The sequence below is a fragment of the Homo sapiens genome, chromosome 2 (genome assembly GCF_000001405.40).
Source record: "Homo sapiens chromosome 2, GRCh38.p14 Primary Assembly".
NCBI classification, from domain to species: domain Eukaryota; kingdom Metazoa; phylum Chordata; class Mammalia; order Primates; family Hominidae; genus Homo; species Homo sapiens.
Genome location: NC_000002.12, coordinates 216178752 through 216197474, shown reverse-complemented (window position 1 = coordinate 216197474; position 18723 = coordinate 216178752). Strand labels below are relative to the sequence as shown.

At 39.3% G+C, this 18723-nt stretch overlaps 1 protein-coding gene across 1 annotated transcript in view; it reads right to left on the bottom strand.

The window, feature by feature from the left end:
* Positions 1-18723, bottom strand: part of XRCC5 (X-ray repair cross complementing 5) — a 96946-nt gene that overhangs the window by 8819 nt on the left and 69404 nt on the right. The window contains exons 17-19 of the mRNA NM_021141.4: positions 7141-7250; positions 4740-4836; positions 2489-2556 (exon numbers count right to left, since the gene is read on the bottom strand). Coding sequence (NP_066964.1) covers positions 2489-2556; positions 4740-4836; positions 7141-7250 — 275 coding nt within the window. The remainder of the gene's footprint in view (positions 1-2488; positions 2557-4739; positions 4837-7140; positions 7251-18723) is intronic.

The window sequence follows — 18723 nt, the reverse complement described above, 5'->3', positions numbered from 1 at the left end:
GTTGTCTTTTTTTTTTTTTTTTTTTTCCTGGGACAGAGTTTCGCTTTCGTTGTCCAGGCTGGAGTGCAATGGCGCGATCTCGGCTCACCCCAACCTCTGCCTCCCGGGTTCAAGCGGTTCTCCTGTCTCAGGAGAGTTGTCTTAAACTACAACTAACATCAGTTCTGATATCAGAATTATCTAAGGACACCATCTTATACCTACCTGGTCATTAACTGAAATTTCTCTCTATAGCTTCATCATTAGACATTAAAATTCCTCATGCTTAGGCTCAGTGCCTTTACATTTCAAAGAAGACATCCTATTTGCATTACAGAACAAGCCTTGCACAATTTGCAAGTGCATCATCTGTTTTCAGATTTCTTTCCTGTCTAATATTCTGGGTTAACTTAGCTGGAACATCTTTGGTTAAGATGTGCTGCTGGCAGGAAACACAAGCTTTTTTAGGTCATGGCTCCTCACTTCTTCCAAAAACTCTAGTATGTACTGTCACCTGGATAATAAATTTTCTTAATGTAATAATGACAAAAAATATTTTTCCTGATTTACTTGTTTAACAAAAATTGATTGATAGGTCTTCACACCATGTGACAATGAATATTATGTGTCAACTTGGCTGGGCTATGGTCCCCAGTTGTTCCATCAAACACTACTCTAGATGTTGCTGTGAGGGTATTTTGTAGATGTGATTAACATCTAAAATTACCTGATTTTAAGTAAAGATTAATCTTAGTAATATTCGTAGATCTCATCCAATCAAGTGAAGACCTTAAGAGCAAAAGCTGAGGTTTCTGCTTCAGGACTGTAACACAGAAATCCTGCCTGAGTTTCCAGCCTGCTAGCCTGTCCTACAAATTTCAGACTTGCCAAGCCCTACAATCACACAAGCCAATTTCTGAAATTCAGCCAATAAATCTCTCTCTCTATATATATGTGTGTGTGTATGTGCATACACACACACAGACACACGCACACATGTACGTTCTCTTGGTTCTGTTTCTCTGGAGAACCTTGACTGAAATAGCCCAGTTCAATGAGGAGATATTATCAAACATTGTATAAAGTGACAAACAGAAACAAAACCAAACAGTTAAATGGCATACTCAAGCCTATGGTGCTCAGTATTGCCTGTGGCAGAGAGGGTACAGACACCACGGAACCCCTTCTGAGATATAATCACCATCTTACAGTATGCTTCAAAAATTCCAGGATTCTACTCCCTGAAAGTAGGGATGACAAGTTTTTTTTTTTTTTTTAACAAAAATCTTTTGCTAGGCAAAGTGCTTAATAAAAATTCTTGTAAATTTTAATTTCTTTTCCAAACATGGTTTCTGCCAAATGCCTTTCTTGAGTTGAAAATTGAAGATATTTAAATTTTGGCCTGAATTTAGCCATCTGATTAACATTTCCAGCTTTGCATCTGTCACTTCCCTAACAGATTCCTATTCACCAGCCCCAGACCAAGCTCTCCCTTAGTGTGTATAGTTATTTTCTGAGTCTCCGTTGCTTCCCTCTGCTCCATTTTAACTGCCCGAGCTTCTAGAGGGCAGGGGTGCTGTCTTATCATCCAGCACAGTGCCTAGCATATCGCAGAAGCTTAGTAACTGAGAGCTGTCAGGTGCCAGCAGAACTACATCAGTCAGTGACTGTAACTGAAACTGAGTGTTACGAAGTATATACTTTTGAGCTATTCAACTTAATTCATTAAAATTTCATCACAACCTTGAGGTACAATGAAGGACTACTGAACTAAATAACCACATGTATCTGACTCATGGCTGAATCAGATTCAATACACACCAAACAAGGAGGCCTAGGCCTAACAATGTGTGTGAATAAGAAGCTCATGGGGACTGCATGGGGTCTTTTACTGAAAATACTTGGATGTCCCTTATGCTAGAATACTAGTGTTTCTCTATTCACTATACAATACAATCACCTGAGGGGTTTTAAAATGCAAACAAACCAACTGTGCCCAGGACCCATCTCAGACTAACAGAATCTCTAGGGTAATTCTGATTTTTAATCAGTATTAACAAAAAAAAAAAAGAAAGAAAGAAACAGAGAGAGAGAGAAAAGAAAGAGAAAAGAAAAGAAAAGAAAAGAAAAGAAAAGAAAAGAAAAGAAAAAAAAGAAAAACAAGCTCACCAAGTAACTAATGTGTGGCCAGGGTGGGAATCACTGTGGATTTCATAGCCTTTACCAGGGCCGAGGCTAAGTTTGCGCACTATGGGGTTCAACAGCATGCTCTAGGGGTACTGAAGCTGGGATTACAGGTGAGTTCCAGAAATATAACCACAGCCTACAGGAAACTGAGTAAGATTATAATTTCTCCCATGGGGATGCTGTGGTTGAAGCAATTTACATATTGAATACAAAATGAGTACACTAATTTAGTTACCCATAAAATTTAACTTCTTCGAGGGTATCAAGAAAATAAAGTCCACTATAATAATTCAACTAAAGACAAAGGTTTACCCCTCAATACCTTTTTGGCTTCCTCAGCTGTGACAGAACTTCCAGAGGCTTCCTCTTTGGTGATCAGAGTAATTCCATCTAAAAAGTAATTCAGAGAGTAAAATCAAAACACAAAGAATCAACCCCAATCCCATTTTCGTTTCCATCACACCTCCTCCCACCTTTGAGCTGAAGATTTCTTTTTTTTAAATAGAGACAGGGTCCCACTATGTTGCCCAGGCTGGTCTCAGACTCCTGGGCTCAAGTGATCCTCCCGTCTCGGCCTCCCAAAGTGCTGGGATTACAAGCATGCGCCACTGTGCCCAGCCTGAGCTGGAGATTTTTAAAACTATAAAGGTGCTCTGTTCTACAAAAAATATAAAACTATAAAGGCAACCAATTAACAATGACCATCTTAAATTATCTTTTCTCCAGTTTTTGCCTGTGTAATAAGCAATAAAGGCCGCATGTCAAATGCCACGTGTTCCATGAAGCCTTCCTTGATCAACTCTAGATAAGTCTCCCCTTCTTTAGAAATCTCAGATCACTTTGTTTATTCCTTTGAAATGGCTCTTGTCGTATTTTATGTAACTATTTGTACACATGTTCTCTCTCCTAAGAATATATTTTCTCAAGGGCAGACACTAAGTCTTATAAGTCTTTATATTCCCCTCAATGTACAGTATGTCCTTACTTAACTATCATCAATAGGTTGTTGGAAACTGTGACTTTAAGTGAAACAAAAGTAGGTACTTAAATAATATTGTTTCATTATAACACTGATGAGAAAAAAATGGTTTCATTATGTGTCATTTTGCTTAAAGTCACAATTTTCAAGAACCTATGGACGTTAAGAGAGGACTTACTGTAGAACATAGCAGAAGCTCAATAAATAAATGATAATTAAATGACTGTATGCTTTTGTCCAAGACATCCGGTGCCCAATATGGAACTACGCCATGCATTTTGTCTTGTGGCCATGTTACTGGCTATTGATAGAGTGGCCAGAGGACTAGGGAGGAAGAAAACATGGTCTTCACCAAGGGGCATGTCTATCATTTAGGACAGTTAATCAATTTTAGCTCAGTAAGAGCAAATCAAGGGTAGAAAATCTACTCTTTAGTTTGCTCTTCTTCCTATTTTCCTACATCAAATGGCTGATACCTGATAAACTGTTCAAAAAGCACATGTATTTAACACCCATGTGTACCTATGAATGGCCTTGGTCATCTGTATTCTCTCAGTGGCATATAAGCTATCAGAAAATATGGATTTTGCATATGACCTGTAAGTTTCTTTTCAGCAAATAATACGCTATAGGCATTCAATAAATACCAAAACCAATCTCCTTCATTTACGGGGTCAACAGCAGAGACACAAAAGTGATTTGAGTAAGCCCCCTTCACTACCCATTCCAATTCCTTTTGTTCTCCAGTGCAGAAGTTAAAGGGCTGAAAAATTAACTGTCAGGAAAACAGTTACCTGTGTGATGAAGAGTTGCCCATTAGAAGGCGGATAGATAGGTATGCAATTCTTTTTATATAGAATTCACACAGAAAGAGATTGAAACAAATTTTGCATCTCTAGTATAAGTGAAAAGTTTATCTCATAAACATAATCATTTTCATAATATGTATTTTAAACAAGTAATATCTTATACTTGGGTTCTAAAAGAAAATCAGGTCATGTTTTAAAAAAGGTGGGGCAAAGGGCATGAAAAAAAGCAAAGATCAAGCCTAACACTGAAAGAATGTGTGCTGTCTTCTTTCTGGGTTTAACTTGCATTGGTTGCTGTGCAAGTGAAGAACTGAATGGTTTTGGTACATGAAGATGCTGGTCTGTTGAAACGGAAAGTCCAAGAACATGGTAAATGAAAAGTAGCAGGGAGATAAAACCTGGGTGAGGTCAACCAAAGGGCTGTGGAACCAGCAGGACTGAAATGGCCTAAGGATCTGAGAAAGGGGACAATGTTCGCCCACACAGCTGCTCCATTCAACAAACAGAAAGGCACAGCCATGAAATAGGTCATGCTGCGTAAAGAGTCTAAGATGGAACTTACATGTTTATTTATTATTTATCACTCTGTATTTATGCTTATTAAGGGAGAGTTTGAGTTCACCGAACACTGAGCATTTCCCAAAGCCATGTAGAAAGTCATCATGTTTCCCACATAACTCATTATACAATACAGTTTATATTTAGAATTTATATGTATATTTAGAATAAAATAGCATAAGTATTTTAAAAATACTTTTTAAAAAAAAAGGCAAATGACAACTTACCCTGGACAACAATTTCCCAGAAATGATTTAATTGTTTAATTTCCACTTTCTCTTGAAGGGCTTTCAGGAAGTTGTTAAAGCGCTGCTCTTCTGAAAACTGTGGTAGCAAGTTGGGGTAGAGGAGGCAGCAAGTCAGAGCAAACACAAAAACAAATTCACCCCAGACCAAACAAAGTTTGGTCTGAATCACCTTATTTATTACAAAAAAATAAAATGTTCTTCTTTGGTACATGGGAAGCTGGCATTCCAAACTGAGGTGTGTTCACTGGGGACCAGAAATCCTTCCATCTGTGGAAGGCACAGAGCTTCCCAGAGTCAGTTTTTCTGCGGTGGCCTAGCCCTTTGTTTTTAACATTTAATGTAGAAAATCCCAAACAAAAACAGAGAACAATTTAGTGAGTGCTCGCACACTCATAACCCAGCTTCAATAATTATCAACTCAGGCCGAGCATGTTGACTCATGCCTGTAATCCCAGCACTTTGGGAGGCTGAGCTGGGCAGATCACCTGAGGTCAGGAGTTCGAGATCAGCCTGGCCAACATGGGTCCATCTCTACTAAAAATACAAAAATTAGCTGGATGCGGTGGCAGGCGCATGTATTCCCAGCTACTTGGAAGGCTGAGGCAGGAGAATTGCTTGAACCCGGGAGGCGGAGGTTGCAGTGAGCCGAGATCATGCCACTGCACTCCAGCCTGGGAAACAAGAGTAAAACTCCTTCTCAAAGATAAAAAATAAAATAAAGAAATAATTATCAACCAAACCAATTTTGCTTCCTCTATACTATGACCTTCTTCTCCCATAACCCTCCAATTATATTGAAGCAAATTTCAGTCAAATTATTTCATTTATGAATATTCTTGTATGAAATATAGAAAATATAGTCTTTTAAAACAAACACTCACATGCCATTAACACCACATAAAAAATTAGTAACTTCTTAATAGAACCAAATAACTAGCCAGTATTCTCATTTTCCTAATTGTTCCATAAAACTTAATCTTTTTACAGTTCAAAAAATATCCCTTGGCCGGGCGCAGTGGCTCACCCCTGTAATCCCAGCACTCTGGGAGGCCAAGGTGGGCGAATAACCTGTGGTCAGGAGTTCGAGACCAGCCTGGCCAACATGGTGAAACCCCATCTTTACTAAAAATACAAAAATTAGCTGGGCGTGGTGGCATGCGCCTGTAATGCCAGCTACTCGGGAGGCTGAGGCAGGAGAATCGCTTGAGCCTGGGAGGCAGAGGTTGCAGTGAGCCGAGATCCGCCACTGCACTCCAGCCTGGGCGACAAGAGTGAAAGTCCGTCTCAAGAAAAAAAAAAAAGGAAAAGAAAAAATAATAATCTCTCCATTAAGACTGAATGATATGTCACTGAAGTCTCTTCTGCTTCTCTTGTCTCTCTTTTATTTTTTTTAAGAGATATAATGTGACCTAGTATTTTTAAGGACACTGGGTGGCAACCATGCACAGAGGTGTTATAAGACACTCCACCTAGCCTGGGTAGTGCTTTAAAAAAGCAATACACTTTTACTATCTCTTTCCATTGAACCAAATCTTTCTCCATCCAACTGAATCATCTGCAGTCTTGTCCTGACTCTACTTTTCTAAAATTTGTCTTTTATCTAAGAGTATTCAGGTTATCTACTTCTGAATCTGTTATTGAATCTAATTTTAATGATTTTTCCATTTTCTTGTCACTCTTTGTAAGCACCTAAATTATTTAAGCATTAATTCATTCATACGTTCGCCAAGTATTTAATAAGCACCCACACAAGAACATATACTACAACTGTGCCCACTTAAAAAATATGCTTTCTAATTTAAACTTGCTCACTTCTTACCTAGAGATATAAAAGCCTATACATAATTTGGAAAAGTTTTAGAAATATTTTCTAAGAATTCCTAATAAAACAATCAAACAGACAAAACCCACACAAAAGGCATGGGAGGAACTTATTGTCAGTGTTCTTTTTTTTCTGACATTTAGATCCCTACTCCTGTCTTCATAAAATCTTTCTCAATAATTATACCAATATATATTTCCCATCCATTTCCCTAAAATAGCCCATCCTTTACAATAGTGAGTGGGCCACCAGAGGTTATAATGGAAATTTCCTTGGTTCCCTAAATAGGAACAGAAAGCAAAGGCCAGGTCTTCAGTACAATAAAAAGCCAACTTTCAGGGATAAAACACCCTACCTACTCATCTTTATCCCATCTCAGAAATGACAGTGATAGTAACATGAATTTAAGTCATTTTTAGCTCCACTGGCATACACTGCTATTCATATTGAGAATGATAATTTCCACGGCCCAGACTCATTTCCAGGATGCTGTATGCCTCTTTCCCTGTGATAGTCGCCAACTGTTTAGGAAGAAAAGAGATGCTAGGATAGCATTACCTTAATGGCTTCTTCCCGGAAGGCTCGGATGCAGTCTATGCTCTTCATAAAATACGGTGTTTCATTAGTATCCAAAAACTGTTCGATGTGATTTATGAGCTGGTTACTCGCTAAAACATAAGACAACAAATTTTCTTAGATTTGAGTGATGCCTGAGAGAGGGTATGCTTCTGTGTTTGTGCCTATAAGTATGTATTATAGTTCACAAGCCTCATGGTCAGCAAGCACAATTGCCATACTTCTTTTAGGGGAGAGATGAGATGCAAAATTCTGATTTCAAAACTCTGTATTTGCAAAGTCTGAATGATACCTATTGATATTTGTCAAGAAATTAATTTCTAAAATGCTGAGAATTATAGTTGAAATATTCCTTTTTGGGATGTCAGAACCTAGGTTGTAGTTATTTTTAAAACTGCTGTTGTTGTTATTTTATTTTCCCCCAGAATTTAGGGGCCATTTGGATAATTCAAAACTGCCTTTCCTATTGTATTCACAGAAAACAGATCCTCTAGTCCCTCCCCTAATTCTACTCAGGATAATTGTCGAACAGTGCTGGGCAGTGAAAAATAATGAGCCAGGGACACCCCATCTTCTACCAATCCAAGGTTAAATTAGAAAAGATCAGCCCTAGTCTTAACAAAATATCCCTTTCGAATGAGAAATCATTGCTATCTACCTTATGCCCTTAGCTGGACCTGAATATTCTCCCTATTGCTCACTACTCCAAAAGCCACAAATACTTAATAAACAGTAACTGTCAGCAAGCAATGTCATAAATGCTACAGAAAGAGAAAATGCATTCATAGTGTTATCATTTCCAAAGTAGATTACACCTTACAAAGAAACAAAAAATTCTTCAGTATGAATAAAAAGCAGAGGAAAAAGGAAATCTAAAAGTCATGAGGAAACTTAATGCTGTGCAGATCAAAACTGACCCTTAAGATCTGTGTGTGGAAGAACAAATCAGGGAGATGTGGGTAATCATGCCTAAAGGCTCCTCTCCCTTGTCCCCTGAAACCATTCACTAGCTGTGGCTGTTTGGCAATTTATGCTGAATGTTCAAGATATTCTATGACTGCCTGTTTCCCCAAATCACAGCCTCCTGTGAGCATTCTAGCAGCTACCTGTGTATGCACAATGCTAAAGAAAACTACTTTCAAGCTTTACCAATAAAGGCCCCAGGCCACTAACTCTGTGAATCACAGTGACCTGAACATTACTCAATGCCTTCCTTATTAAAAACATGAAATCGGTGCTAAGAATCTACTTATTTCCTAAGGACCATACAGCATGTGGAAAGGATTAAAAAACTGGATGAAGTATTTTTTAATACAGCAATTTTCTAACAAGGGAAAAATATCCCCAGTAACCGTTTCATCCCTTCTACCAACTCGGAGATTATGATCTCCATTATAAGAAAGCACTTAACAAACTTGAGGGATTAAAGAAACATTTCCCTGCAATTTCAAAAATCTTTACCAACGTATCCCGCAGCAGTGAATTAATATCCAATTACAATTCAAAATAGAGAGAGAATGTTCAGATGAACCTTTTTAAACAAGGTAAATAATACAACCCTGATTAGTAGGCAGAGCAGAAAACCATCAACAAAAGCTCAAAGCAAACAGAAGTTATCTCCCCTTTTCAGCTTGAAAAGCAAAGTAACAGAAATGTTTGATAACAGAAAGCGGTGTACTTTCCCAGATCATCTGATACAAAGTTCACTCGAGGTTACATATTTGGGCACAAATAAAAACCTTTACAGGCCAAGGGCAATAATCCTAGAGACTCTAAATTCTCCATTTCTTTTGAAATGAGAATAGGAAATCTTAGGAAGCTATAATATAAATGTTTCTCTTTGTTTGATAGTATATACTTATTGTGCAACTACTATGTAGAAGATACTATGTTATGTTCTGTGGGAGACAGAATTAAGTTGAAGACAAGGCCCTTGCCTTTGAGGAGTTTGCAGTTGAATAGGGAATATAATGCATATACATAAAATTAACACTGGGAAATAATGTGAAGAGGGCTATGAGTTTTAAGGAAATATATTAATTGGTTTGAATTTTTAAAAAATCTTTGGTGATTACAGAAAGCTTCACAAATCAACATGGCTTTTTAGCTAGGCAATGAAAAACAGAATTTGGCAATTACACAGCAGGAAACACAATTAGCCTAAGTATGAAGAAGAAAGCACAAGCTGTGTTTGGAGAAAAGCAAATGGCCTCATACATGGACAGAAATAGGGGAAGAAAAAAGAGTGAGGATTAGACAGCAAATGGCTGGAGGAAAGGGAGTTCCAAGAAGAGAAAGTGTGTGTGAGAGTCCTGAGGTAGGGGTACAGCGTGGCTCCTTAGAAAGTGTAGAAGAAAGAAGAAATTTTAGCGGTTGGATAGTGGAAAGGGAGCTGAAGAAGGAGGCTAAGAAGGATTAGTCAGAGAGAGAGAGAGGGAGAGACAGGGAGACGGGGAGAGAGAGAGAGAGAGAGAGAGAGAGAGAGAGAGAGAGAGTGTGTGTGTGTGTGTGTGTGTGTGTGTGTGTGTGTCAGGAGTTCATGGCATCACAGATACTAAGAGAAGAGATTATTTAAAGGAAAGAGTTGTCTGCTGTGTCCAAACTACTGCATAAAGACTACACGGAAAAGAGTAAAAAGAGCATAGGCAATTAAGGATAGAAACGTAGGGAATCCTAAGAGCTGGGAGCCCATGAAACAACTACACAGGTACTAAATTGCTTTGCGAAAAAACAAAGCAAAACAAAAAACCAAAACAACCAGCTTCCTGACTCATTTTATCCTGAAATATGATAGAACACACACACACACACACACACACACACACACACACACACACACACACACACACAGTTGCTATCTTACAGAGAAAAATATTCAAAAGAAACAAAAATAAATACCCAAGCCAACAATCCATTTGCAACGATACAGGAAAGAAGGCAGTCCAGTCTACCATAAATTCTTTGTAAAAGGAAGTAGCAGGAGTCTCAATACCCAGTTTCTTTGTAAAAAAAAAAATGAAGTCCTAATGTATCTGTGGGCCTATGTGGATTTAGTTTTTCTTATTTACATGTTAGACTGTTGTGCTCTTTCCTCCAGAGGGTTCAGAAACACAGATGGATAAACATATCCAAACTTCCAATAAACCCAAAGAATACAAACAACCAGATTTTGGCCTTCTAGGAATACTCAGTTACGTGGCTTGTAAATCTGGTCCATGATTCTAAATTCTGTCCCTCTACCCAGACTACTTTTGTGGTTCACTGACTATAACGAACCATTTAACACCAGGGAATAGCTGTGATGGATGACGCTTGAATATACTGAGTATCAAAAGGGATGTAAACAAGAGACTTCCTTTCCAAAGTTTTGTGGCACTTCACATTTCCCTGCCATTTTTAATAAAAGTAAAATGCAGAAATGGCTGAAAAAATAATATTCTATAATATTTGGCTGGAATATGCTTTTGACTCCCCTGCCCCACATAAAGGAAATGCTGATCATCAGGGTGCTTTTCTCTGCTTCTACATTAATTACAGGGCTGAGGAATGGCTTATCAGTCTTCAAACTCAGTAAATCACAGCCCCAATTATAATTCACCAAAATGCTTTTCGAAATTAGTTAGTGACTCAATAATACTCATTAGTAGCTAAAATAAAAAATGGCCATTGGAAGGGCCATCCATCTTAGGATACTAAGTCAGGCAAATGGCTGTCATTTATTTCCAGGATTACTTCAAATGTCTGTTTTGGATTTTGAGGTTTTAGAAAATGCAAAACCTTTAGATATGGGCATCATATACTAACCCAGTATCTTAAATGAGTACAGATGTTGACACCCAAAATTAATCTCAATACAATACTTCAGTATCATATTCAAAATGTTATCCAGATTTAGAAATGTTACAGAAGAGGAAAATGGCGAAGTTTTCTTGTTTAATCTGAAATACACATTCTGCTTCTCTACTGAATACATTCAACACCACCCAAAGTCCTATAAAATGGACTACACCTCCCCTCTCATTGCACAGTCACCAAGGTCAAAACACCCAGGGCCATGTGCATGTCTGCCTCTGACTTTACATTTACTCACTACCTCTGTTCTTTGCAAAGATGTTTCCAACAAAGTGAAAGGAAGTCATTTATTGTGGGATTTTCTCCTCCATCTGACAGAGCCCAAAAAGCAGTAGGTTCCCTCATCTGTCACACATTATATATAAAAGACTGTGAAGACACCTCAAATGATTTGGCTGAACTCAGCCATCATTTAGGATATTTCCCAATTTAATTCTTCTCACTTTCTCAATGCCTCATGTAAATGTTACTTATTGAAATGCTGTACATTTTGCAAATGTCAGCAGTTAAATAAATTTTAAATGTTAAGAACAAATTTATGGCCAGTCGCAATGGCTCACGCCTGTAACCCTAGCACCTTGGGAGGCCAAGGAGGACGGATCACTTGAGGTCAGGAGTTCGAGACCAGCCTGGCCAACATTGTGAAACCCTGTCTCTACTAAAAATACAAAAATTAGCCAGAAACCACTTGAACCCAGGAGGTGGAGGGTGCAGTGAGCCGAGATCATGCCACTGCACTCCAACCTGGGCAACAGAGTGAGATTCCATCTCAAAAAAAAAAAAGAAAAAGAAAAGAAAAAAACAAATTTATGTAGCCAATGACAATTGCATCTTTATAACACAAAATTAAAAGTGACAATAAAAATCAAGCACTTAAATCAAAATAAGTATAAGGTCAGGTAATTCATTATTAAGAGAATAAAAAGGAGTAATGCCCATCAGCAAATAAAAGTCTAGGCAAGCAGTCCAGTCTACCATAAATTAAATCCACCTGTAAATTATAATCATTGTTTAAGCCAGAAACTTATAAAAGATATTTGCCTGATAAGAAAGTCTGTTTTAACAGAGGCAATTTAAGAAACGTATCAAAAGCGGGCTTTCTTTATGCCTCTTTACTATCGGATATAAATTGGCCATTGTGGGTAGAGGCGGTGTGTGTATCAGTCAGGGACCAACACAAGGAATATAAACCACTCCAAATATTTAACACAGGAGACTTAAGACAGGAAATTGTTTTGCAGGTTACGAAGTGTGTTAAAGCCAACTGAGAATGGTGCTGTAACCCCGGGATTGGTAACAGCAAGAAACCCTTAGCATCCCTTGGTACTCAGGAAAAAGAAAAGGGTATAAATAGAGTTCAGGGATCTGTCCTATGGGAGCTGAAGACACTGAGGACCAAAGATGCTACCCAACATAGAAAGGGAAGAAGAGATACACCGGTTTCTCCCTCCCTACTTCCCACCAGTATCTCTCATGCCGAACCCAGTAGGAAGTCTTTAGACACAGGAGCCTGGGAAATGCAACCTACAAGAGCCAGCTCTGCCCACACCTCCCTCAGATGCAGGGCATACAGAAGAAGGGAGGGTGAGGAGGGGATCTAAGGGCACAGTGTGTTATGAACTCACAAGGGGATGGCCTCTTTTAAGAATTGGGTATTTCCAGGAGACAGAAATGCAAGGCATCAGGCTGGGCCCAGCGGCTCAAGCCTGTAATCACAGCACTTTGGGAGGCCGAGACGGGCGGATCACCTGAGGTCAGGAGTTCAAGACCAGCCTGGCCAATATGGCGAAACCCCGTCTACTAAAAATACAAAAGTTAGCTGGGTGTGGTAGCATATGCCTGTAATCCCAGCTACTCAGGAGGCTGAGGCGGAGGCAGGAGAATCATCTGAGCCTGGGAGGCAGAAGTTGCAGTGGGCCAAGATCTCACCACTGCACTCCAGCCTGGGTGACAGGGTGAGACTCCATCTCAAAAACACAGAAATTAGCAAGGCATCATTTAAATTATAAGGGAAGCTAAAATTTGCAGGTTTCTTTCTTTCTAGTGAGGTAGGATACAATGAAATTCAATTAAAAGTTACTGAAGAAGTTCAAAAGCATATTTAAAGCTTCTCCCAGACATTTGATAAAAGCTGTATTTCTATAAAAAACAAATTATGTAAAAAAATATTGTTTTCACTTCTACTTGAAACGTCTTTAGAGTTACATACATTTCCTTTCCTTCAGTTCTAACACGGTTGTGACATGCAACCGTGTGGACCATGACAATAAACAACAGGTACTGGATGCAACTGAGCACTTCCCATGGCATTCTGGTCCTCTCAGAAGTCAAACGTACTTATGAAATTTTAAGTACAAAAAGAAGGTATCTTAAATATTTTTTCTCTAAATCACACACACACACACACACACACACACACACACACACACACAGTGCTGACTTATTTCTTAAACACCCTTCTTTCTGCTTCCACTTCTAAAAGAGTTCGGACTGAAGAGTGCTCTTTGCTCTTGGTATTCTTGTTTTCTAGTTGCATGGTCTTTAATGAAATATTCTTATTGAGGAAAAATAAATCACTGGATGGCAACAAAAGAAACAGAGAACTAGGAAAAAAGCATAAGCTTGAGTAACCTGAAAATGACATTGAAATTTGTCATCTTTTTTAAGCAGCTGGACTGAGAAGCAGACATAGCTCTGCTCTTTGCCTTAGCCTACAGTTCTTCCACCTTCTAGAAACTGTTCTGCTAGCTCTTTGCCCCAAACTTCCTCAATCTAACAAAAAAGAAGTTCCCTGCTTCCCTTTCAGAACAGAAAAATCAGTAGATACGACAGAGAGAACACCACAGCCATAATATTATGCATGACCAGTGGCACAGGAAATTGGACTAAGATATGCAAAGTGCTGACCACCTCAACACACAGATGCAGTCCTGTATTTTTAAATTATTATTATTATTCTTACCAATAACTAAAAAACTCAATTAAAACCTCACCATTTAAGTTCCACAAGTTCAGTCAGAGCCCATTTTTTCATGCTTAATGATTTTCTCATTAAGTGCAGTAATTTCTTACAAATTGCACTAATAAAAGTAAGTCCTGCTGGGTGTTTCCCCCCTTTTTTAAATGGTGCCTTTTCATTGATGTGTTAAATTAAAAACCCCAGGCACAAGGAACAGAGTAAATGCAAGGTCTTTATTGTCAGAATCCATTCCTGCAGACTATGAGATCTCTCTCCTTTTATTTCTGTTTTTATTTGAGCTAGCTGTGAATCCTAGTTTGTAGCCACAGGAAGAATGATATGGAAGGTCTCTTGGCCTTAGTTCACTCTGTGTAACAAATATGGTAGTGGGAGCTAACAAGAAACCAGAAAAATGATATCCAGTTAGCCCACTGGCTGTAAGCTCATTTTATGTAAGAGAGCATTATGATATAACATTTTTATTCTGATGAATAATATTCCTCTTCTTAAATAGCTTGGGTATATGACCAGATCTGTTCCCAGGTCAGCTGGCAAATTTTAAGTTTCCTGGTAAGTGGAATGGTTCTGTGGCATTCTATGGTCTTGTAATTTTTTATTAAAAATATTCAGTTTAACCATTAAAAAACCACTAAACATATCCCATAAAGCCTGAAGGTCATCAATTAATATTTATAGGGCATACAGCAGTTAACTAAAGACCAAAGAACATGCACTGCCTAGTGTAACTAATTTTCCCCAATTCTACAACGGAGTACACTTAAAGTAGAATATTGAGACATTATGCTAACATAAGAAAGAAACTAAAGGAAGACTTTCTAATTAAATGAGGAAATGATATCTTTCAGCTTTTTAGGAAATATATATGCCATATGCCTGAAAGAATGTGTTGTGGTGGGGGGTGAAGACTAGGGAGGGCAGAGGAAGAGGGTCTCCACAATTTTCCAAGGTCCTAGAATTCTAAAACTTGCCAATGCTTACTAAAATTGATAGAGAAGAATTAAGAACCTTATCACCATGCTTGATTCCATTCCAAATGAGCAGTAGGGGAAAGGAAAAATGTAAGATAATAGTGATTGGTACTGTAGCAATTTTATAGTATCTATCTAGCTTCATACCTGACTAGATGTCATCAAACTAATATAGGAAGTAAGTAGAAGATACCAAGTAGTCATAGTAACAGTGCAGCCAAGAGGGAACAGGAACACAAAATCAATCTGGCAATGGGATCCAATTAAAAGTTGGTAATTGAATGGAACTGAAACGCAGGTATCAGTTGAAAAGACAGAGTGAATGATGAGTCAGACTCCTCACCAAGGAGAGAAACAGGCAGCCATTGTTGAATGTGCTTTTGGGGAGGGTGGACAAGGGGGAGGCAGCACACAAGTCTTCTAGGATGCCTCAAGAATTTGAGTCTTTTTTGAAAGGAAATATTAGGTACCAGAAATTTTAGAAAGACCACATTCTATGTGATAACTCCTTCTAAAAACTGATAAATAATGCCTTGGTTTATACGGTATTTTTCCTTAGGGACCTCTCAGATTCTTCTTTTTCTTTTCATTTTCCCCCCTCTATCCTTTCTAATTTTATGAAGAAAGTTTTACAGTATTCTAGAGGTCAAAATACAGACACGTTAGATTCTGCACTTCTTCTTTGATGGGGCTAAGACTTAGGAATTGATCCAAAGAACCAGAGAAGTAAATCTGCTACAATTCAAAAATTCAAATTCTTATTACTCCCAAGCACTGTTTTATTAAAGTCGCAATGAAAACCAAAAAAGCCAGATGGAGGTCATTTTGTCTCACTGATGGTAAAGCAGCAGCAGTATCTAATGAGTCATACTACAATAAAACTACGGGCGGCATTGGGATCCAAAGATATACCGGTTCTCAAATCACAAGCATCTCTTTAGAGTAGGATTTGGGGGTAAAGATAAGAATGGCCATTTTTTTAAAAGAGTTAATCAGCTTTAGAAAGCCGATGCTGCAAGGGCATTAGCAGGAACATGGTTTGAATACAAGGTTCACAGAGGGAATCTGTATAAGAATGGGTCGGGAGTGGCAGAATGGGACCAGATTGTGGCAAGCCTTGAATGGGGGACTGAATGGGAGTAATTAATAAGGGCTGACCCAGAATAAAATCTGTGCTATAAGAACTTAAATCTGTACAAACATATGGGCAGGAATGAAGGAGAACTTTGAAGGTTATTAATGAAGGATGCTGGAACTGTCCAATGATAAAATAATGAAAGCCTGAATTCGGATAGTGATAAGATGGAAAGGAAAAGACAGACCTGAGAAGTAAATTAGAAGATGATTAGAAAGCAGAAGAGAAATGGATACAAAGTTGTCAGAAATGCCAATGAAGAAACTCAAGGCCGGGCGCAGTGGTTCGTGCCTGTATTCCCAGCACTTTGGGAGGCCGAGGCGGGTGGATGATCTGAGGTCGGGAGTTCGAGACCAGCCTGACCAATACAGAGAAACCCCGTCTCTACTAAAAATACAAAATTAGCTGGGTGTGGTGGTGCATGCCTGTAATCCCAGCTACTCAGGAAGGCTGAGACAGGAGAATTGTTTGAACCTGGGAAGTAGAGGTTGCAGTGAGCCGAGATCGCGCCATTGCACTCCAGCCCGGGCAACGACAGCGAAACTCCATCTCGGAAAAAAAAAAAAAAAGATACTCAAGGGGCAAAACAACAGTTAACAACACTGCTTATTTCTGGAGAAAGTCCCATTAATAACATCAGGACACGCCATCACTTAGGTGGTTGCCTTCCTTAGAATGCCCTTCTTTGGGCCCTCTCCTATCCACCTTTACCATAATGGACCAGGTTATGCCAACCTCCTCCAGGAATTCTTTTTAAGACAGAGTCTTGCTCTGTTGCCCAGGCTGGAGTGCACTGGCATGATCACAGCTCACTGCAACCTCCCGCCTCCCAGGTTCAAGCAATTCTTGTGCCTCAGCCTCCTGAGTAGCTGGGACTACAGGCCCAAGCCATCATGCACGACTGATTTTTGTATTTTTAGTAGAGATGGGGTTTTGCCATGTTGGCTAGGCTGGTCTTGAATTCCTGGCTTCAAGTGATCCACCCGCCTTGGCCTCCCAAAGTGCTGGGATTACAGGCGTGAACCACTGTACCCGGCCCCTCCACGAATTATTCTTCAAAGTAGTCACCTACCTGCATCTGCACCCATATAGTCTGCCTTCCATCCTATTGCCTTTGCTGAACTGTCTGTGTGTTATCTAAGTTACCCCTTCCACCTGTGCCCTAGATCCCATGCCTCTCCGTTACTCAAGGATCTCTTCCAGTCTCATGTCTTAAAGTCTCTATGGCTCCTTCTCCACGATTTATACATACAACTCAGACCTTTTTCCTGAAGTCCAGACCTGCATGACCATCTTCTCCTTCTCAGCAAATGGCAATTCGTCCAGTTGCTCAGACTAAAAATCTTGGGAGTTATTTTTAAACTTTTTCTCTCTCACACACTCTACATTCAAATGATCAGCAAAACTTGACAATTCTACTTTCAAAACAGATCAAAAATCGGACCTCTTCTTACTACCTCCGGTCACGTGGATTAACGCCGAAGCCTTCTAACTCATCTGCCTACCTCAACCTTGCCCTTTTCCTCAACATGGTATGAAATATAAAACCAGATCATTCGCTACTTCAAACTCTTCAATGGTTTCACATTTCACTCAGAGAAAAGCAAAAGGTCTAGGAGGCCTTATGTGATATGTACCCCAGCCAGCTCTCTGACTTCTCAGCTCCTACTTTCTTTGCTCCAGTCACACGGACCTCCCTGATGCTTCTAGCCAAGCATAGTCATCTTGAGCTTCTCAAGAACATGCTGCTCCCTCTGTCTGCAAAGCTCTCCTCCCAGATATCCACTAGGTTCTCTCTCTCACTATCCTCAATTCTCAGTTCAACAGTGAGGACTTCCCTGATCCTCTACATAAAATTATAAGCCCATCTCAACCCAGCATTCCCTATCCCACTATCCTGCTTTAACTTTTCTCTATAGTGCTGTCATGGGCTGAATAGTATCCCCACCCCGCCCCCACATTCCTGTCCTTACCAAAACCTCACAACGTGACCTTACTTGGAAAGAGAGTCCTTGCAGATGTGTGATCAAATTAAGATGAGGTCACTAGGAAAGGCCCTAATCCAATAGGACTGACATCCTTATAAGAAGAGGCAAACTTGGATACAGACATACAAGAACTCCCCTGTTAAGAGAGAAGGAGAGATTACAGTAATGGATCTATAAGTCAAGGGATGCAAGAATTGCCAGCTGTCACCAAAGGCTACAAGAGAGCATTGAACAGATTCTCCCCCATACCTCTCAGAAGGAAGCAGTCCTGTGATTTTGGACTTTAGTCTCCAGAACTGCAAGGATAAACTTCCACTGCTTTAAGGCACTCAGTTTGTGGAACTCCATTACTGCAGCACTAGGACACTAACACAAATGCTTATCACCATTTGACATATATTTTCTTATTTGTTTACTGTCTGTATCTTGGTATGACTGGCACACAGTAGGCATTCAACAAATAATTGTTGAATGGATGAATAAATGGTGTAGGCCTCACTGGTTTATTCCTCTAAAAGCCTAAGGAATGAACATGTCTTTTTGTTGTTCGTTCAGTTTAAACCCATAAGCTGTGTATTTAGCACTGGCTGCCACTTAGGGGAGTAGACAGTCTAGAACTCTCTTTTATCCCCTCCCTCCCTT